General features: G+C 36.5%; 1 protein-coding gene across 52 annotated transcripts in view; it reads right to left on the bottom strand.

Annotated features, from left to right (window-relative positions):
* Positions 1-23,830, bottom strand: part of DLG2 (discs large MAGUK scaffold protein 2) — a 2,173,362-nt gene that overhangs the window by 523,462 nt on the left and 1,626,070 nt on the right. For all 52 annotated transcript variants that reach the window (NR_165353.1, NM_001351274.2, XM_017017256.3 and 49 more), the window contains one exon: positions 2,033-2,169. Coding sequence is in view for 51 of the 52 variants with exons in the window: in NM_001351274.2 (NP_001338203.1) it covers positions 2,033-2,169 (137 nt within the window). In the remaining variant the exon portion in view is untranslated. The remainder of the gene's footprint in view (positions 1-2,032; positions 2,170-23,830) is intronic.

Here is a 23,830-nt window from a genome sequence, read left to right on the forward strand (position 1 = left end):
AGAAGTTGTTCAGGTCTTATACCTTAATGACAACCTTTGTTGTCCAGAAGATAGAACAACATCATAAGAACAAACTTTTACATCAAAAACAAACAAGCAAACAAACAAACAAACAAAAATTCAGAATTGCTTGAGAATGAAAGTGGTAGTGGCTTCAGGTGGTAAAGCAGCCCACAACTGTTAACTTTAACTTTGACTGAAGTCATTAATGGTATATTTTTTGCCCATCCAGTTTTCTCAAGACAAAGTTCCTTCCTGAATAGCAGCTACTGCCTGAGACACAGTAGGTGGGCAGCATGTACTTATTAAAAAAGTAATTAATGAATGACAATAATGAATAAAGGAGGAAAGGAAAGAACTGACTGACAAATTCAAGGAAACTAATGAAACCATGTTGCACAAGAGGCAGTATAGCTTGGTAGTAATGAGTGGTGCTAGCCAGATTGCCTCAATTTGAAACCCAGTTTTGTCCATTATTAAACATATGACTATGGGCAAGTCAGAAAACCTGTCTACATCTCAATTCTTTTTTGCTTATATAAAATGTACTGCTGTTAGAAATATGTTACATTACAAAAAAGCCCTTTATAAAAGAACATGGAACTTAGTAAATGCCAGGTCAATGTTAGCTATCAAGATTATTACAAAGATCTTATCTAACACAAAGCTTACTGAACACAAAGGTCATTGGCAACTATGAAATTAGACCACTGCGATTAAACACAGCTCTCTAAAGCTGAGGGAAGTAGGCAAATAAATATAAAATTTGGAGGTTCAACCTCCAAAACTTGCACAGGTCATAAAAATTAATTTTCTGTTGAGATTGGGGGTTGATCCTCCCCAGACACTTCTCACAAAATTGTTGGAGATAATGGCTCCTTGCAGACAGATTAGAAGTCCTGTTTTACAAGGGTAGACATGTGACTAGACAGATACACTAATCTTACTTGAGAGCTACCTACTATTAATTTACAATATTCGATTATTATCCTGTAGATTTTGGCATACAACAGTAAATGGACATAAGGCAGTTTTATTAACACAGTCCCAAATGCTTTGTTGCTTATAATCGCCTTAATTTTGCTTTAGGTTATCATATAACTCCATGGTTCAGAAAGACTGGCTGTGTGTCAATGTCAATCACTGCCTAGGACTACTGAAGCATGTGAGAAGCTGGCAAATGAAATAGCTATAACCCTGTCTAAGGGGAGGAAAGGAAGAGATCCATTTACACATGTAGCAGAACTCAGATTATAAATTCTTGGAAGTCAGGAGCTGTGTCTATACTGGTTGCACAAAGGACTGTGGAAATACGCTTATCAGTAAGCCAGGGTGTTGTTTCTATTGTTATGCAAACCCCACCTCTCCAGCAGTCTATAAATAGTAATTGCTCTCCCTAATAGGAGACACATTATGTTGGAAGAACAACAGATAATCTCTATGCCATGTGTATCTAAGAAAATTAATGAAAATTTAGATTTGTTTTGAAAATGTCAACAAAATAGATACATTGTACATGTACTTTTGAAATCTCTTACTCATAAATCTGCTGTCTCTTCTTTTCAATTTTTGTCCAAGTTCTAAATTGTGGACCCCTCACAAAATCATATGTTGAAGCCCTAACCTCCCTGTGACTGTATTTGAGGATAGGCTCTATAGGAGATAATTAAGGTTAAATGAGTTAAAGATGGTGCTGTAATCCAATAGGACTGGGCCTTGTAAGAGGTGGCTTTGTAAGAAGAGAAAGAGAGAGACAGATCTCTCTCTGCATAAACACCCAGGAAAGGCCATGTGAGGACACAGTGAGAAGGTGGCCACCTGCAAGTCAGGAAGAGAGCCCTCACCAGAAACCTAATCGGTTGGAACCTTGGACTTTGTAGTCTCCAGAATTGTGAGAAAATAGATTTCTGCCATTTTAAGCCACCCACCCTGTGGTATTTTGTGATGGCAGCCTGAACTGACAAAGACAGTCATACACTGGAAAACAAGAGCTTTATAAATATACACACAGTTTTGCTGGAGTCACACTCACCATTAGTAGTCTATCTCCTACTTGCAACCTTCCATCTTTTTGTGCAGCTCCTCCATCTATAATTTTAGTTACATAAATGCTGTTGTCTCCAGGAATGTGTTGGTTCCCCACACCTCCTGCAATACTGAAGCCTAAACCTATAAGAAAGGAACAGAAAATGGAAAGCCTTGTTTTGTTGTTGTAGTTGTTTTTAGAAAATGCAGTTAGCCACATTTTAACAGTTTTTAAAAATGAATCCTCAACTTATTGTAACAGCAATAAATAACACTAAAAACTGTATTTCAATCTCGTTATTTAAATATTTGAAGAATTGTTAATGCAAATGAGGCAAAGATTTTGAAGTCAACCCCATGTGAGTAGTTTTGTTCTATTTCCAGACTGTATGCCTAACTGCTGTTCCTCAGCTATCCTGTTTATAAGGGTAACTGGCCAGAGCAGGGATCAGGTGAAGGGTGTGGAGGAATCCTAGGTGAGCCAGGAAAAAGACAAGTATAGTCCTGCTCATTGTTGACTCTATGGGCTCATTTTCATTGCTGTTGTTACTCTAGCATAGAGAACAGAAGTACTGCCAATCACTTGGGCAGAGACCTGGATACTCTTGATATTTCAAGATGAGAAATAGAATTGTTCAAAAATTGCACAAATTCTGAGGCAAGAGCCATGAATAAGTTACACTGTTTATATACATGTAATAATTTCAGAGAGAAGATAAGGAAAAGAAGCTAGATGCTTGCCTTTCATGTTTTGTTCTCTTGCCACCTTGTCATATTTTATATTTCCTAGCATTTATTGTTATTAACTGATTAACTAATTGTGAGACTAGTCACACAAAAAAGTGAATTATTCCAGTATACAGTCTAAAAAATTAAAAATATTCCTTAAAAATATTCTATTGGAAAATAAAGAATAAAAAGAATGTTAAAAAATTAATTAATTAATTAATTAATTTAATTTTTGAGATAGTCTCGCTCTGTCGCCCAGGCTGGAGTGCAGTGGTATGATTTCAGCTCGCTGCAACCTCTGCCTCCCGGCTTCAAGCGGTTCTCCTGCCTCAGCCTCCTGAGTAGCTGGGATAACAGGCACACGCCACCATGTCTGACTACTTTTTTAAATTTTTAGTAGACACTGAAAATGTTGGCCAGGCTGGTCTTGAACTCCTGACCTCAGGTGATCCACCTAACTTGGCCTCCCAAAGTGCTGGGATTACAGGCATGAGCCACCACGTCCTGCCAAAAACTTTAAAATGTATACTTAGGCTATATTATTTTTATAACATGGCAGAATATCAAATCATTTTAAACATGGCGATTGTCTCTTTTAAGAGATGATTTTCACTGTACTATGGCTTATACAATCTTAACTTATATTAAACTATGAAGCAATAACAAGAATAGAGGACAGTCATGCACTGCATAACAATGTTTTGATCAGTGATAGAGTACACATACGATGATGGGCCCAAAAGATTATAATGGAGCTGAGAAATGGCTATTGCCAAGTGACATCATAGTCATTGTAACATCATAGCATAATGATTACTAAGGTGTTTGTGGTGATGCAGTGTAAATGAACCTACTGCATTTCTAGTCACATATATAAAAGTATAGCATATACAATTGTAAACAATAAATAATACTTGATAATGATAATAAATAACTATGTTCCTGGTTTATGTATTTACTACACTATGCTTTTTATTGTTATATTTGAGTGTACCCCTCTCCTTATTAAAAAAAATGTTAATTGTAGAAAAGCCTCAAGCAACTCTTTCAGGAGGTATCCTACAAGAAGGCATTATTATTACAGGAGATGACAGATCCATGCTGTAACATTTTACATGTTATTGCTCCTGAACATCTTCCAGTTGGACAAGATGTGAAGGTAGAAGACAATGATACTGATGATCCTGACCCTGGGTAGGCCTAGGCTAATGTGTGTGTTTGTGTCTTCATTTTTAACAAAAAGTTTAACGTGTAAAAAAAAAAAAAAAAAAAGAAAAGCTTATAGAATAAGAATAGAAAAAAGAAAATACTTTGTATAGCTGTACAATATGTTTGTTTTAAGCTAAGTGTTATTACAAAAGAGTCAAAAAGTTCATAAAGTAAAAAAGTTACAGTGAGCTAAGGTTAATTATTGAAACTTTTTAAAAATAAACTTAATCTAGCCTAAGTGTACAGTGTTCTTTAAGTCTACAGTAGTGTACAATAATGTACTAGGACTTCACATTTACTCATTACTCATTCACTGATTTACCCAGAGCAATTTTCAGTCCTATAGGTTCCACTCATGCTAAATGCCCTGTACAGATGTACCGTTGTTTATCTTTTATTTTTTACTGTACTTTTTCTATGTTTAGATATGTTAAGTTACACAAATAGTTATCGTTGTTTTGCAATTGCCTACAGTACGCAGTATAGTAACATGGTATACAGGTTTGTATCCAAGGAACAACAGGCTATACTACATAGCCTAGGCTTGTAGTAGTCTATTCTATTTCAGTTTGCTAAGTACGCTCTATTATGTTCCCATAACAATGATGACATTGTCTAATGATGTATTTCTCAGAATGCATGCCCATTGTTAAATGACACATGAATGTATTTTAAAAAGTTATTATGAGATCATTTTAAAGGAATAATTAATAGACTCTTTAAACGTATAAGAATTTTTAAAAATCTCTTTCAGAATATGTTTGAATGCTCATTCAGTACAATACTTGCAGCATACATTTTCATTGCATTTTACAATCATAAGATAATTAACATGCAAATTACTCAAGAAGACAGATATTAATCAAGGGCCTTTTGACTACAGACATAATTTCTATAGCTTACTTGGCTTAAGACTTTTTTAGAAAAACCACACACCTAGTAAAATAATAAAGCTATCATTAAAATATTTGGCATTTTATACAACAATAATAAAAAATACTTAAAAATATTAACTCTACTTCACTATACTTTTATTGAATAAATATTGGGTAAGGTTATGCACTCTTAAGATAGCATAAATAGTTAATTGAAAAATGATGGCATAGTAAATTATAAAGCAACATCTCTGGAATTATATTTGAAATGCAATGATCGTTAAATTAACCATAATAGTTGTTAAAAATAAATGGAAAATTGATTTAAATTGATAGGGCAATTAAAGCAAGTGTTATCTAATTTCCTTGTGATGTGAGTAATTATTTTTACTGATGCTTTGCCACCCCATGGAACAATGAATATATTTGTTTGCCTCAGATTTACAATTTGTTTATTAAGCAAATGATGACCAAAGAGTAAAATACCCCAAACTGGCTTTTCCTATAAAATTTAAAATACATATCAGCTCATGTTTCCCAAAACTGTTACTTTATTATACATGAAAATAGGGAAGTTTTAAAAAATGTATTTACAAAAGTTTCTTAGCCACGTGCTAAGGTCAATCTACCATATTTATAAAAGTACAGAGGTTATTCCAAACTCTGAAAAGAGAAGGCTAAAACAAATTCAGAGACTCCAATTTACATCCACTATGCCAGCAGTAAATGCCACGGTCTTAGCTACAAGAAGAGCTGTAGAAATAAATTACCACCATAAAAACGGGTAAGTTCAACAAACAGAGCAAGTATGTAGTTGACATTTGAAGTTGAAGACTGCACAAAGACAATGAAAGCACTATGGATACTGTAGATAGATAGATGATAGATAGATAGATAGATAGATAGATAGATAGATAGATAGATAAAAATCGAGTAACATTTTTTCTTGAGATTGGGTTTATGTGCTTCTTTTTAACTAGTGACTCTATTCAAGGTGAAGCAAGGTATTTTTAGTAAATGTTCCTCTCAGAGCCAGAGCATGTTTCTGAATGTACACAACTAGTAATTTTTCCAATTTCCTTTACTTTGACATAACATGCATGTGTTTAAAAACAATTAAAATTTATTTAACACTTAATCATATTCTAAATATTCAATTCAGATGATGAATAAATCTGTAGTTTATGTCTACATTGAGAATTTATGTTTATTTACAGGTGGAAATATCTATCTGTGCTATAAGATTGCATCTATCCTCATTCATTTATTCATTCACACATCCATTCTTTCAATAAGCATCTCCTGAGTACATACTGTGCGTTGTATTACCTGCTGCTATCGAGCACGGCCAAAGTAAATGTAAAGAATTTTTTTTCCATTTTTAATTTTTAGTTGTTATGGATACATAATAAATGTAAATAGGGTGCACATGATAATTTGATACAAGTATACAATGTGTAATGATCAAATCAGGATAATTGGGATATCCATTACCTTAAACATTTATCATTTCTTAGTGTTAGGAACATTTTAATTCTACTCTTAGTTATTTCGAAATACACAATACATTATTAACTATAGCCACCCTATTGCACTACTGAACACTAGAAAGATCTATTTCTTTTATCTAACTGTATTTTTTATCCATTGACCAGAAACACTGTAATAATAATGACCCAAAAGTGAGTTCATATGAGTGAGTGTAGTTGAAACATGTCTGAAGCAATGTTCTAAACCCAGATAATGCAAGCAATTTTTGGATAGCTATTCTATGAAGACAAATGTGGGCTAGGACCACTGAGCAATAAGACCAAACACAAATTACCTGGGTTTTTCTTGCATAGACTCTGTTAAAGCAGGGGCAGGCTCTCTACCTTATAAGACCTAGACTGGCTAAGGCATGCCATGACTAATGCCCCTGTCCCCCATCCCTGTTATTAATCTCACATGTCTTCCCTTCATTAGCTAATTTTTCCCTCCTTCATTCCACTCAAAACACACTTGCATCCTTGACGTTTCTTTTTTTATTTTTATTTTTTTGCCTTTAACTTTTAAGTTCTGGGGTACATATGCAATATGTCCAGGTTTGTCACATTGGTAAATGTGTGCCCTGGTAGCTTGCTGCAAAGATCAACCCATCAATGTGATATTAAGCCCAGAATCCATTAGCTATTCTTCCTGATGCTCTTCTTCCCTGCTTCCCTCCCCTTGACAAGCCCTAGTGTGTGTTGTTTTCCTCCATGTGTCCATGTGTTCTCATCATTCAGCTCCCACTTACAAGTGACAACATGTGGTGTTTGGTTTTCTGTTCCTGTGTTACTTTGCTGAGAATGATGGCTTCCAGCTCCATCCATGTCCCTGTAGAGGACATGATCTCATTCCTTTTTATGGCTACATAGTATTCCATGGTGTATATGAACCACATTTTCTACATCCAGTCTATCATTGATTGGCATTTAGGTTGATTCCATGTCTTTGCTATTGGGAATAGTGTTGCAATGAAAATACATGTGTATTTATCTTTATAATAGAATGATATATATTCCTTTGGATATATACCCAGTGATGGGATTGCTAGGTTGAATTTTTTTCCTCTAGGTCTTTGAGGAATTGCCACACTCTCTTCCACAATGATTGAACAAATTTATATTCCCATCAACAGTGTAAAAGCATTCCTTTTTCTCCACAACCTCACCAGTGTCTGTTGTTTTTTTGACTTTTTTTTTAAACCAATAGATTTTTTTATTTTATTTTATTATTATTATACTTTAAGTTTTAGGGTACATGTGCACAATGTGCAGGTTAGTTACATATGTATACATGTGCCATGTTGGTGTGCTGCACCCATTAACTCGTCATTTAGCATTAGGTATATCTCCTAAAGCTATCCCTCCCCCCTCCCCACACCCCACAACAGTCCCCAGAGTGTGATGTTCCCCTTCCTGTGTCCATGTGTTCTCATTGTTCAATTCCCACCTATGAGTGAGAATATGCGGCATTTGGTTTTTTGTTCTTGCAATAGTTTACTGAGAGTGATGATTTCCAATTTCATCCATGTCCCTACAAAGGACAAGAACTCATCATTTTTTATGGCTGCATAGTATTCCATGGTGTATATGTGCCACATTTTCTTAATCCAGTCTATCATTGTTGGACATTTGGGTTGGTTCCAAGTCTTTGCTATTGTGAATAGTGCCACAATAAACATACGTGTGCATGTGTCTTTATAGCAGCAAGATTTATAGTCCTTTGGGTATATACCCAGTAATGGGATGGCTGGGTCAAATGGTATTTCTAGTTCTAGATCCCTGAGGAATCGCCACACTGACTTCCACAATGGTTGAACTAGTTTACACTCCCACCGACAGTGTAAAAGTGTTCCTATTTCTCCACATCCTCTCCAGCACCTGTTGTTTCCTGACTTTTTAATGATCGCCATTCTAACTGGTGTGAGATGGTATCTCATTGTGGTTTTTGTTTGCATTTCTCTGATGGCCAGTGATGGTGAGCATTTTTTCATGTGTTTTTGGGCTGCATAAATGTCTTCTTTTGAGAAGTGTCTGTTCATGTCCTTTGCCCACTTTTTGATGGGGTTGTTTGTCTTTTTCTTGTAAATTTGTTTGAGTTCATTGTAGATTCTGGATATTAGCCCTTTGTCAGATAAGTAGGTTGCGAAAATTTTCTCCCATTTTGTAGGTTGCCTGTTCACTCTGATGGTAGTTTCTTTTGCTGTGCAGAAGCTCTTTAGTTTAATTTGATCCCATTTGTCAATTTTGGCTTTTGTTGCCATTGTTTTTGGTGTTTTAGACATGAAGTGCAACTTACAAGGGACACGAAGGACCTCTTCAAGGAGAACTACAAACCACTGCTCAATGAAATGAAAGAGGATACAAACAAATGGAAGAACATTCCATGCTCATGGGTAGGAAGAATCAATATTGTGAAAATGGCCATACCGCCCAAGGTAATTTATAGATTCAATGCCATCCCCATCAAGCTACCAATGACTTTCTTCACAGAATTGGAAAAAACTACTTTAAAGTTCATGTGGGACCAAAAAAGAGCCCGCATCGCCAAGGCAATCCTAAGCCAAAAGAACAAAGCTGGAGGCATCTTGCTACCTGACTTCAAGCTATACTACAAGGCTACAGTAACCAAAACAGCATGGTACTGGTACCAAAACAGAGATATAGATCAATGGAACAGAACAGAGCCCTCAGAAATAATACCGCATATCTACAACTATCTGATCTTTGACAAACCTGAGAAAAACAAGCAATGGGGAAATGATTCCCAATTTAATAAATGGTGCTGGGAAAACTGGCTAGCCATATGTAGAAAGCTGAAACTGGATCCCTTCCTTACACCTTATACAAAAATTAATTCAAGATGGATTAAAGACTTAAACGTTAGACCTAAAACCATAAAAACCCTAGAAGAAAACCTAGGCATTACCATTCAGGACATAGGCATGGGCAAGGACTTTTTTGACTTTTTAATAATAGCCATCTCTCTGGTGTGAGGTGATATCTCATTTTGGTCTTGATTTGCAGATTTGCATTTCTCTAATGATTACTGATGTTGAGCCTTTTTTCATACATTTGTTGGCAGCATGGGTGTCTTCTTTTGAGAAGTGTGTTTATGTTCTTTGTGCACTTTTTAATGGGGTTGTTTGTTTTTTTCTTGTAAATTTGTTTAAGTTCCTTGTAGACTCTGGACATCAGACCTTTGTCAGATGAATAGATTATACAATTTTTCTCCCATTCTGTAGGTTGTCTGGAACTCTGATGATAGTTTATTTTGCTGTGCAGAAGTTCTTTAGTTTAATTAAATCCTGTTTGTCAATGTTTGCTTTCGTTGCAATTACTTTTGGCATTTTCGTTAAGAATTCTTGCCTGTGCTTATGTCCTGAATGGTATTTCTTAGATTTTCTTCTAGGTTTATTATAGTTTTGGCTTTTATACTTGTCTTTAATTCATCTTGAGTTAATTTTTGTACAAGGTATAAGGAAGGGATCCAGCTTCAATTTTCTGCATGTGGCTAGCTATGGATGCCTTCAGCTTTGTTCTTTTTGCTTAGCAGGCTCTTTTTTGGTTCCATAAGAATTTTAAAATAGCTTCTTCTAGTTTTGTGAAGAATGTCAATGGTAGTTTGATGGGAATAGCATTGAATGTATAAATTACTTTGGGCAGTATGGCCATTTTCATGATACTGATTCTTCCTATCCATGAGCATGGAATGTTTTTCCATTTGTTTGTGTGATCTCTGATTTCCTTGAGCAATGGTTTGTAGTTCTTGAAGAGGTCCTTCACTTCTCTTGTTAGCTGTACTCTTACAGCCTTGATATTTCTAGAGTACTCCGACATAGTCATAGACTGTCAATTTAGGGTCTTTGCTACAGCTGTTCTGCTACATGGAATATGCTTCTTTCAGGGCTTTGTTCCAGTCTCAATTTCTGTAGGAGCTGGAACCTAAGCTCCCTATTTAATGCTGTCCCCTGACTATATATATTTTTTTCCTTATCCTGCTCTAGTTTTCATTTTCTCTTAGCACTTATTACCTTGTAATACACTATATAAGTCATCTACATATTTTGTTTATATGTTTTTTATGTTCTGTCTCCTTGGTGAAAACATAAGCTCTGTAATGAATGGTTTTTTGGTCTATTTTGTACTATGCAAGTAGAACAAAACCAGTTACATACTTGCCTCATAAATATGTATTAAGTGAAAGAATGAATGAACAAATGAATATAAGAGGACAAGGAAAGTCCCATGTCTCTGAGAAAGTCCCCCCTTAAAGATGAAATTAGTGGCTTTGAATGAGCAAGGGGCAGAAACAGTGAGCCATGGTAGCTGCAGTCAGTAACTGTATAAGGCATCACATTGCCTCAGGTAAACTTTGATGAGCTCTCCATCCTCAACCTGTACAGGGTTTATGGTAAGCACTGAGCAGGCAATGGGACAACAGCAGAGGCAGCTTCACTTTCTGATTCTTTCGTCTTATAACTATGCAAATTTGAGTTTCCATTTCTTTGTAATAAAGGAGTAAGTATATCTATTATCTAGCAATAATAGATACTTGATAAATAAAGTGCTCTCAATAAACTGTCAGGTTGTTGGGAAAACATGACACCAACACTTTGGCATAATCTGTCTGGTTTGGATGAGTTCTATATTGCTACCAGCATTATGTGAGGGAAGCATGACTTACTTCTTAGAGGAGAAGGAGAATAATTAACAGAAGTTTAGCATTTGGACTGGGTCTTGATAGGTGAAGTTAGAACTGATAAAAGAAAATGCACATTTAAAACCAACATGTCTTCAGATTCCAGGCTGGATAAATGACTAAAGAGTCAACCGTCCTGAGTTATGTCACACAGGGCTAATAAAGTCCCACTTTACTGATCCAAAAATTGAAGCAAAAATGCCTGGCAATCAAAACATGTATTTATGATACAGTAAGACAGGGTAGTCCCTACTGAAATGAATACAATGAGTTCCTGACTCAAATTGGATGAAGATTTGTGTAAGGAACACTTAAAATGGCCAAAATACTGATTTCGGGGAAGTGATAGTTTTGTAACAACTAAAGAAAATTGGTTACCATTTTGAAAAGAAGTGTCCATGAAAAAGAAATAGCTCTGGACCATCACATGATGACAAACTAGTCCATTATAAAATAAAGTCAGTGAACAGAGTTGGTAGTTCTCACCCCAAAACGCTGATTATAACACCACCTACTGTGGAATGTTGGGCTATTAAGAATAAGACTAAACATTACTGCATGTGGGTCATAAACAAAGCTGACACAGAAAAATGTAAGTAATCATTTCACAAAAGGAAGTAAAATCAGTGAATATTTCAGTACTCTAGTAAAAGAAAAAGGCATGCCAAATTTAAGCACCTAATTGCTCAAGTAATTAAAAATGACCTGTTTGGCAATCACTTGACGCACATACAGAATTTCAGGATTACATCAATTATAGAAAGCTGGGTTCATCTTTCCAATTTTCTTGCATATCTCCAAGCAGTGATTTCTCATGTCAACATAAGAAATGCAGGCATAAGCACAGGGAAGTCTGAACCTGATTAAAGCCTTTAACTGAAAGTTTTTCCACACAAAATCTTTTTCCCATCCTGTAAAAAGAGAACACCATGAACGGATCGTGGTTCACTCTTTTCCCTTGCTGCCCGCCTACGCTGAGGAGGAGGTGTCAGTGAGAGGTGGGGCCTGAAGCAGAAGCTTGGCAGCAGAGATTGATACTGTGCTGAAGCTCAGAATAAATACTCAAATGCTTTGAAAAGTTATGATTACAATGTACCCGAATATTCTTTGCGGGTGTAGAGAACTAAGCCCCATGATGTCTTATAATCATTCAGTGAATTGGTTCAACTTTATTTCATGTGACTTTCTTAGGAGAGAGCTCTGGGCCATCTCTAAACAATTCAAAATTATTAAGCATACTGGTCCTGTCAGAGTTTATTTAGGATCTGCTAGGTAAGGTGTTTACTGCTTTACAGAAAGCACTAGTAGTTTTCTGCACATTCTGTCTACATGGTTTTATTAAAGGAAACACAGAATCTATCTTGAACCCTGGCTGGCCCTGTCTGAGAAAACACCCACCCTCACAGGCAACTTAACTTATGAATGTGCATAAGTTTCAGCTAAAAAACAACAAAAAAACCCTTCCCTGTAGGAACTGGTCTACACTGATGAGAGACTACTTGTCATCTCTTCCTTTTTAGAAAGAAAATTTTGCTTTAACAAATACCAAAAAAAAGTATGTTTTATTTTAATTTGAGAGAGTAGTTAATCACACTGGCGACTGCCAATATGGTTAATTAAAAGCCAAAGCATTATCTTCTTACTCTTTGGATATTCTCTGGATTCCAAAGACAAAATCTGAGGTTGAAAGAAGTGATTCTGCTTAAAATTTCTAAGGCACTGACAAAGCATCTTCAATCCTGCTTGAAGAACTGCTCACAGGTCACCCAATTAACTTACTATAGCCACAGCCCAAAACTTTTTCTTCTATTACATATCTTGTAATACCCACTCATACCTTTAGCACATTGCTTTAATACCTATTTTATTCTGAAAAATTCACATTTCTATACCTATCCTTTCTGCTTTCCCTTTGTTCAAAGGAAGAAACATTATTTCTCTTTTGTAAAATGAAATCTTCCCCTGCACGTTAGGGCTTTACTTTTTTCTTTTTTCTTTTTTTCTCTCTCTCTCTCTAGAGTATTCAGTTCCTTAGCCTCAATGCTTTTCTTCTTTTATGGATTTGGCCATTCCTCTGTCCTGTCCTGAAAAGATCTCTTCAACCTGCCACAGCCTCCTTACCATAATAACTGAAGTTTTTAGACACTGATCTGTAGTTCCACCTCTATTTCTATATTACAAACCATCCTTAATCCCATCCATCTGGCCCCATACACCACAATCTACTCACATGGCATCTGTTATAGGTTGAACTATGTCCCCCAGAAAGATGTGCTGAAGTTCTAACTCCTGGTACCTGTGAATGTAATTAACCTTATTTGGAAAGAAGTTCTTTGCAGATGTGACTTAAGAAGATGAGGTTATATTGGATCAGGGTAGGATTAGGGTCCATTGATTGGTGCCCTTATAAGAAGAGGAAATTTGGACACAGAAATAAAAAATACACAGGGAGCAATTTATGTGGTAAGTGACACAGCGATTAGAATGATAAATCTGTAAGCCAAGGAACATCAAAGATTGTAAGCAACCACTAAAAGCTAGGGAAGAAGCGTGGAACAAACTCTTGCATTTCTAAGTTGTACTCCAGTAGAACTAACCTGTGCCAGCCTTTCTTCCTCTATTTAACTCATTAAACACTTACTGATGACTACTTATGTGTCAAGTAGCAGCCTAAATATTGTTGTTACATCAATAAATTAGAGATCTAGTGTTCTTGTCCTCATGCAGCTTATTTTCTACTACAGAATAGGACAAGTATAAAAATCATGAAAATGCAGTGTGGTAAGTGCTGCTATGAGAGGAATAGTGGCTATGGGAGCATATAGGTGGGCGGCCTACCTTGGGCTAGAGGGGGTAGTGTCAGAGAAGGATAACTTCAGGTCATTATATGCAATCTGAGACCTGGAAGATAACAATGAACCAAGAAAATAAGGGAGTGGGGAGACATCATCCCTGCAGAGGGAAATATATACTCAAAGACCCAGCATTGAGAGATAACATGGCTTAGTTGAGAAACTCAGAAATGTTTAGGTGAAAGTAATAAGTAGTTTTAGGCGGAGTGCAGTCTCCACAAGGAAAAGAACCATGACTGTAGAACCATGTCTGTAGAACCATTAATGTACATTCAGCCCTTGGTACTTGGATATCAAGAAATATCCAAGTATCCAATAAGTGAATAAATGAAGATAAGAGGTCACTCCCTCCACTGAATTAGAAAAGGAGGAAAGGACAGTGGAGATGAATGCTAAGATTGTAGGATAATAACAGGACACTAAAGAAGTTCTCATCTTCCATTTACTCTGGTAACAAGAAAGGATGATCATCAACCAAGAATGAGGGAAGTAGTGAGGTCAGAGAATGAAGAAATCACAGATGTGTTGGAATAGCTATTAGGGAAAATGGAAGATATAATTGCTTAGAGAATTGCATAAAATGGCAAAGAGCTGTGTTGATTGTCTAGTGAGGGTTTGGAGACTGTAGATTAATAATAGCACTGTTCTAGGTTTTTTTCCTCCAGTAATTCTCAGAAGTCTAGATATAAGCATGGAAAATATAGGCAGTTAGATTGAATTGCCTTACATATTAATCTCTTATGTGCACTAATCTTTCCTTTTTAACAAAATTATATGATCCTAGAAAGTAGGGGTTGCACAAAATAGACTATGTTAGCACAGTGCTGACATATAGTAATTGTTCAATAAATATTTGCAGAAATAATTAATGACTAAATTGTTCAAAGACCAAATGGTCACATCTCATAGGTATACTTTCAAATGTCAAGCATCCTACATTAAGAAAGATATGTATGCTTTAGTTGATTGCTTTAGCTCAAGGGGGAAAAAGTATATGTTGAGCATTTTTAATGTGCCAACTACTATATTGGCTGGTGAAGAATTAATGAAGAGTATGTCAGTCTCTTCCCTAAACGAACATTAAAAATGACCAATGACAGACACAATTACATTTCTTTACTCAAAGAACTATCATTGACCAAATTGTTTTCATCCTTAAAGATCAAATAGTCAAACCACAAGTTGACTGCTTATGGGGCTGTATGATAGAATGTGATTAGATGCTGTCCTACTTGTTTATGGACTACTTCATTACACTTGAAATGGAATATCCTCCAAGCTTCCATCATTAAAATATAACCAAATTATAGGCACTGCCTCTAGCTATCAAGCACATCTGTCTATGCAGTTTTTCCAAGTTAATTTTTGCTGCCATGCAAACCAAGGTCATTAAACACTGACCTCTGAATACTGTCTACACTGTCTTGGAAGTATACAGATTCCAGCACACAAAGCCACAAAAGTTACATAGATTATTTAAAAGATGTAAAAATCATCTCACATGTTGAAGTTTGATGAGGATGTCCCACTGGCAGGGTTGTTGCTGGAGAAAGCAAGCTGAAATATCTGAAGGGTAACTCGGTGGATCTTGAAAAATTTCCATTCACAAACGCCTGTATTCAGTAACATCTCCTCTGAAAAGTTCTTCCTCCTAGTCGCCACTCCTTTAACTTAAAAGTACTCTCTCTCTCCACTGACCACATCTAACGGTTTATCTGTCTTTATCTCATTTTTAGTGATACATCATTTTCTACATAGAATTAGAATATAGTTATTTATAGGAAGGGTTGATATTTAGAACATTTAACAGCTGGTATGAAATGAACACCAACTAATCACAATACGTAGCTGCCATAAATAACTGCTGTGATATGCACAAATATGTTGTAGGAATATCTCATTCCCCCACGTTGGATAGTTACCACTTTGAAGGTGGAGGGGAAAATAACCCTTTTATTTTGTATGCCCAGGGGTTTTATGGACAAAGTAGATACTTGAAAACTAATTTTTTATTTTTATTTTAAAAGACAGGGGTCTATGCTATGTTGTCCAGGCTGGACTTAAACTTCTGAGGTGAAGGGATTCCCCCAACCTCAGCCTCCCAAGTAGCTGGGACTATAGGTGAGCACCACTGTACCCAGCTTCAAAACTAGTTTTTAAAATGAATTACTGAACTAAATAAAAATCACTGGATCTTTTTTCCATAAGCATACTTTAACAAACCATGCAAGAAAGGGATCGGGGTAAAATAATGCAGTGAGCTACTTCATCATTCATTAAAACAACACTCAATTCCAGGCTATCTTAGTTTCCTAGGGCTGCAATAACAAAGTACTAAAAAGTAAGCATCGTAACTAACAGAAATTTACTATCTCAAAGTTCTGCAGGCTAGAAGACCAAGATCAAGGCATTAGCAGGGTTGAGTCCTCCTGAAAGCTATAAGAGTAAATCTATTCCATGCCCCTCTTCTGGATTCTGGTGATTTGCTGGCAGTACTTGGCACTCCTTATCTCATAGATGCATCATCCCGATCTCAGTCTTCATCTTCACATGAATTCTCCCTATGTGCATGTCTGTTTCTGTGTCCATTTTTTTTTTTTTTTTGTAAAGACACTTGCCATATTGGAATAGAGTCTACCAGTACGACCTCATCTTAACTTGACCGTTAGCAAAGACCTTAGTTCCAAATAAGGTCATATACATAGGAATGGGGGTTAAGACATCAACATCTTTTTCAGGGACGCAATTCAACTCATAATACTGGAACTGGGAAACAAAAATATGAACAGAATGCAGTTCCTATTGTCAAGGATTTCACAGACCAATGTGGAAAGAATTATAAATAAACAGCATATGTTAGTACATTGGAAAAAATGAAGAAAGGCAGGTTGTATCATGCAAAACTTCTGAACTTCCAGGAGATAATGACAGTCAAGTGCAAGTCCACATGTAGAAATAGAGGCTCATGAGGCTCCAGAAGTGCCATGTTAAAAAGTTTAGACCTTATATTAGTGGCAATGAGGAGAGAGACTTTGAAAAATTTTAACCATGAAAATGACTTGATCAGATTTGGTCTCCCTCCATTTTCCTTGTTAATACTTGCTGTTGTTTAAAAAATACATCAAGCTATCCTAAGAAAAAAAGAACAAAACTGGAAGAATCACATTCCCTGACTTCAAATTATGCTACAGAGCTATAGTAACCAAAACAGTATGATACTGGCATAAAAACAGACACATAGACAAAGGTAACAGAATAGACAGCCCAGAAACAAATCTATACATCTAGAATCAACTCATTTTTGACAAAGGTGCCAAAACATACACTGGTGAAAAGACAGTCTCTTCAATAAATGGTGCTGGGGAAACTGGATATCCATAGGCAGAAGAATGAAACTAGACCCCTAACTATTGCCATATACAAAAATCAAATCAAAAGGCATTAAAGACTTAAATCTAAGACCTGAAACCATGAAACTACTCTAAGAAAACATTGGGGAAGATTTCTATGACATTGGTTTGGGCAAAAATTTCTTGAACAATACCCCACAGGCAAATACAATCAAAGCAGTTAATGGACAAATGGGATCACAACAAGTTAAAAGGCTTCTGATAGTAAAGGAAACAATCAACAAAGTGAAGAGACAGTCCAGAGAATGGGAGAAAATGTTTGTAAACTACCCATTTGACAAGTGATTAGTAACAAGAATATGTAAGGAACTCAAACAACTCTAAGAAAAAAAACAATAATATGATAAAAAGATGGGCAAAATATCTGAATGGACATTTCTTAAAGGAAGACAGACAGACAGCAAACAGACATATGAAAGGTGCTCAACATCATTAATCATCAGAGAACTGCATATCAAAGCTACAATGAAATATCATCTCACCCCAGTTAAAATGGCCTATGTCCAAAAGAAAGGTAATGACAAATACTGGCTGGGATATGGGAAAAAGGTAACCCTTGTACACTGTTGGTGGAATGTAAATTAGTACAACCACTATGGAGAACAGTTTGGACATTCCTCAGAAAACTAAAAATTGAGCCACTATATGATTCAGCGATCCTACTTATGGCTACCGAAAGAAAGCAAATCAGTATACTGAAGCGATATCTGCACTCTCATGCTTATTGCAGCACTATTTACAATAGCTAAGATTTTGAAGCAACCTAAGTGTCGATCAACAGATGAATGGATACAGAAAATATGGTACACATACACAATGGAGAACTATTCAGCCACAAAAAGAATGAGATCTAGTCATTTGCAACAATATGGGTGGAACTGGAGATCATTATGTTAAGTGAAATAAGCAAGAGACAGAAAGACAAACATCTCATGTTCTCACTTAGTTGTAGGACCTAAAAACCAAATCAATTGAACTCATGGACATACAATAGAAAGTAAAGGATGGTTACTAGAGGCTGAGAAGGGTAGCAGGGAGCTTGGTGGGGGAAGTAGGGATGGTTAATATGTACAAATAAATAGAAAGAATGAATAAGACCTACTATAGTCCAAAAAGACAAGTAAAGTCAATAATAACTTAATATTTAAAAATAACAAAAAGAGTATAATTGGATTGTTTGCAACTCAATGGATAAATGCTTGAGAGGATGGATATCCCACTCTCCATGATATGCTTACTTCGCGTGACATGCCTGTATCAAAATATCTCATGTACCCCGTAAATATATATAACTACTATGTACTCACAAAAACTAAAAGTAAAAAAAAAAAAATAAAAAATAAAAATACTTAAAGGGGTGAAAAACTATTATCAGACTTACTGCCTTATTTCTGACTATACATTTAAAAACCTTTTATGCTCAATTCAGGCATTCTATTACTACACATTTCAAGTGACCATCATGGGCACTTTTAAGCACCTAACACATTTTTCTTTCTACAAACCTCACAAAAAGACCTGTCAAGAAAATCATTCTAGGTCCAACAATGCACAGCACCTCATGCCTTATTTCTACTTCTTTCTTTATGATAGAAAATGTAGTCAGCCTTTAACTTGGCCTGATAAAAACTGTAAAGACTATGCCAAATAAGACCAGGTGCAGTGGCTCACACCTGTAATCCCAGCATTTTGGGAGGCTGAGGTAGGCAGATCACTTGGGGTCAGGAGACCAGCCTGGCCAACATGGTGAAATCCCATCTCTACTAAAAATACAAAAAATTTAGCTGGGCATGGTGGTGCATGCCTGTAGTCCCAGCTACTCAGGAGTCTGAGGGATAAGAATTGCTTGAACCCAGGAGGCGGAGATTGCAGTGAGCCGAGATGGTGCCACTGCACTCCAGCCTGGGTGACAGAGCAAGACTCCATCTCAAAAAAAAAAAAAAAAAAAAAAAAAAAAAAAAAAAAAAGGTGTGCCAAATAGTCCCTCATACAAACAGGAAACCCAAATCGTTTATCAGGAAAGAAGAGGTGACAATTTTAGATACTGAGAATATTGAAGTACTTGCCAGAAGTCAGATTTCAGGCTTTGGGAGGCCATGGCGGGTGGATCACTTGAGGTCAGGAGTTCGATACCAGCCTGGCCAACATGGTGAAACCCTATCTCTACTAAAAATACAAAAAAAATTAGCTGGGCATGGTGGTGTGCACCTCTAATCCCAGCTACTCGGGAGGCTGAGGCATGAAGAATCACTTGAACCCGGGAGGTGGAGGTTTCAGTGAGCTGAGATCCCACCACTGCACTCCAGCCTGGGCGACAGAGTGAGACCCCATCTCAAAAAAAAGAAAAAAAGAAAGAAAGGAATACAATTAAAGTGGAGGAGGAGCACACTCTGGTCTTGGAATTCCATTTGAGAATTTAGAAGTGTCATGTTTATAATTTTTCAATTTTGTTTGTTGTTGGCTTGCTGTAAAGCAATATAAAATATTTTTGTTATAAAATAAATAAAAAATACATCAAATCAGGAGCAGCCTAATGATGGCTGACTAGAGGAGTTTTGTACTTGTCTCCTCCACACCAAAGAACCAAAGTAGTGAGTAGATAATCACACTTCGTATAGTTCCCTGAAGAGAAAATACTGGAATGTAATAAATTCAACAGAAAAGTGACACAAAATACCTAAAGCAAAGAAGAAAAAGGAAGCAAGGCATCCTGCTTGACCAGGATCAGCTGGGAGATGAGAGACTCCTCAATATGGGAGAAGTATAAATGAGACATCTTTAGTGGTCCACATTCCCACTGTGGACTCCTGCAATCCTAGACATGGGAGAACCCCTCAACTCTTGTGGGTCCTGAAACTAACATAAGGATCTATGCAGAAATTCTGTGATGGCACTGCTCCAAGAAGGGAGGTTGCACTGGGTCTTACACACTCTGTGACACCTAAGCAGCTACAGCAAGCCACCGTTTTAGAGTCCTGCCCCCAACAGTCTGTGTACTGCCCTGGAACCCAGCAGTGCCAGGGCTAAGGTGCAAGAGAATTGTGGACTGTAATCCCTGGGTCTGAGCCATAAGGAAGGTGTGGGCTACTTCAGCCAGGGCTCAGGCATGTAGTTCCTGAACAAGGCATGAACTACAGCTATTGGGGACTGAAGCATAAGTAAGGTAGTGGCTATCACAACAAGAATTGAGGCATGAGTGCTGCCAGGGATGAGGCATGAGTGATGTAAACATTCCCGCCTTGCCAGCAGTCCAACCTTCCACAGTGGCAGGACAGCAGTGTGGCTACTACCAGTCACACCTGAGCATTCTGCTGGTGGCCTGGGAATCATGACACCTCTGCCTACCATAGCTGATGCTGGCATCCACCATTAGGAAGCCTGAGGACAAGCCTGCCTGGCCTGGCTTTGTCCCTTCTTCCACCCTCTGGGCCAGGGCCCAGCCCAGTCTATCACCATTGGTAGGTGAAAAAATCCTCCCATGTGCTTGAGATTGGGTCTACCTAGCCAGCCACTTACTCCTCAGCTGGCACCTACCTGCATGTACCACCTGTGGGCCTGGAGACTGGCTAGCCCAGCCCATCACAGCCACTGCCAATGCCAGTGTATACCACTCAGGACCTAGAGGGTTGTCCTACCACTATCACTGCCATTGTCCATGCCATGCCAAGTTCCCAGGGGCCTAATAACCTGCCCACCTGCCTGGCTCACTGCTGCAACTACTGACACTGAATAAGTCAACTGGAGGCCCAAGAATTGGCCCACCTAGACCCCCTAACATTAGTGTAACCATACAGTATACTGGGGCTCAAGAACAGACATGCTCAGCTCACTGCTGCCACCCCTGGGGCCCAAAGATTGGACTGCTTGGCATCCCACTCCCCAGTAGAACTTCATCGTATCCTCCACTTATAACTGCACTGTACACCACCAAGGAAATCACAGATGCAAATAATGCTGTTTAAAGTCAAAAGAAAAATCATACAAAGACTACATTATTGCACACAACAAGAATCAAAGCCAAAGTGCCCTACACAACCAACACCATAGATACATCTTCAGGAAAAAAGTAATCCCCTACAAAAGCAAATTAAAAAAATGAGAAGAAGTGACTTATACCAGATCACACAGATATCAATGTAGTGACACTGGAAACATTAAAAAAAAAAACTCAATATGATAATGTCAAAGAAACACAATAATTCTCTAGTAACAGATCCCAAGCAAAAAGAAACATGAGTAAATCAATAAAAGAATTCATATTATCAATTCTAAAGAATCTCAGTGATATAGAAGAGAATTATGAAAACCAATACAAAGAAATCAGAAAAACAATTCAGGATATGAATGACAAATTTATCAAAGAGATAGATATCATACAAAAGAACCAAACAGAAATTCTGAAACTGACAAATTCATTGAATATATCAGAAAATACATTTGAAAGCTTCAACACTAGATTAGATGAAGAAGAATCTCCGAACTTTAAGAAAGGTCTTTTGAAATAAACCAGTCAGACAAATAAAGAAAAAAGAAGAAAAGAGAATGAGCAAAGCCTTCATGACACATGGGACACCATAAAGGGACCAAATATTCAAATAATCAGGGTCTCAGAAGATGAAGAAAGGATGAAAGGGTTAGAAAAACTATTTAACATAATATTGCATGAAAACTTCCCAAGTCTAGCAAGATAATTAGACATCCAGATACAGGAGGCTCTGAGATATCCTTACAGATACAATCCACAAAATATCTTCTCCATGGCACATTACAGTCAAACTGTCTAAAGTCAAAGACAAAGAATTCAAAAAGCATCAAAAGTGTCTAGTCACCTACAAGGGAATCTCCACTAGACTAAAATTGGTTTCTCAGTAGAAACCATACCGGGCAGGAGGAAATGCAATGATATATTAAAAGTTTCAAAAGAAAAACTGCCAGCCAATGATACTATGTACAGAAAAATTATCCTTAATAAATTAAGAAAAAATAAAGTCTTTTACAAAGAAGCAAAAACAAGAAATTCAACACCACTAGACCAGCTCTATAAGAAATGCTCAAGGGAGTCCTAAACCTGGAAGGAAAAGGACACATCTGCCATTATGAAAACACACAAATGTATAAAACTCACTGGTAAAGCACACATACAAAGGAAAAAGAGAAAGAACTCAAATAGCATCATGACAGAAAGCTACCAAACCAAAATGGAAAACAATAAAAGAAAAATAAAGGAACAAAGAACATACAGAACAACCAAAACACAATTAACAATATGACAGGAACAAAACCTCATATATTAATATTAACCTTGAATGTAAACAGATTAAATTCTTTACTTAAAAGATATAGACTGGCTGAAAGGTTACAAAAACATGATCCAACTATATGCTGCCTATAAGAAACATACTTTACCTATAAAAACACATGAAGACACAAAATAAAGGGATGAAAAAAGATATTCCATAATAACAGAAACCAAAAGTGAGTAAGAGTAGCGATCCTTATATTGGATAAAACAGACTTCAAGTAAAAAAAAAAAAACAGTAAAAAAGAGAAATCAGAAAATTATATAATGATAATAGGGAATCAATGCAGCAAGAGAATGTAACAATGCTAAATATACATGCACCCAGCACTGGATCACCCAGATTCATAATACAAATATTACTAGTTCTGAAGAGAAAGATAGATTCTAATACAATAATAGTGGGGTACTTCAATATCCCACTCGGCATTAGACAGATCATTTACACAGAAAATTAACAAAGAAACATTAAAGTAGACTTTAGATAAAATGGACCTAACATACATTTGCAGAACATTTTATCACATGACTGCAGAATACATTGTTCTTATCAGCGCATGAAACATTATCCAGGATAGTAGATATGTCAGGTCACAAAACAAGTCTCAACAACTTAAAAAATCAAAATCTTATTGAGTATATTCTCAGATCACATGGAATAAAATTATAAATCAATAACAAGAGCAACTTTGGAAACTATACAAGTACATGGAAATTAAACATGTTCATGTTCTTAAATAATCATTGGGTCAACATAGAAATTAAGATGAAAATCAAAAAAGTTCTTAAAACAATTGAAAATGAAAATACAACATACCAAAATCTGTAAGATACAGCAAAAGCAGTACTAAGAGGGAATTTTATAGCAATAAACATCATAAACAATCTAAAAATGCAACTCAAGCAATTAGAAAAGCAAGAACAAACCCATCCCCAAATTAACCGAAATAGAGAAATAATAAAGATAAGAGTAGAACTAAACAAAATAGGTTTAAAGAACAATATAAGGGTCAACAAAATGACATATTGGTTCTTCAGAAAGAGAAAATTGATAAACTACCACCTAAAATAGCAAAGAAGAGAGAACACCTAAATAAACAAAATCAGAAAAGAAAGAGGAGACACGACCATTGATACATGCATTAGTCTGTTTTCATACTGCTATAGATAACTTCCCAAGACTGGGATCTACCATCCTAGGGT

Source organism: Homo sapiens, chromosome 11 (genome assembly GCF_000001405.40).
Source record: "Homo sapiens chromosome 11, GRCh38.p14 Primary Assembly".
Classification (NCBI taxonomy): Eukaryota; Metazoa; Chordata; class Mammalia; order Primates; family Hominidae; genus Homo; species Homo sapiens.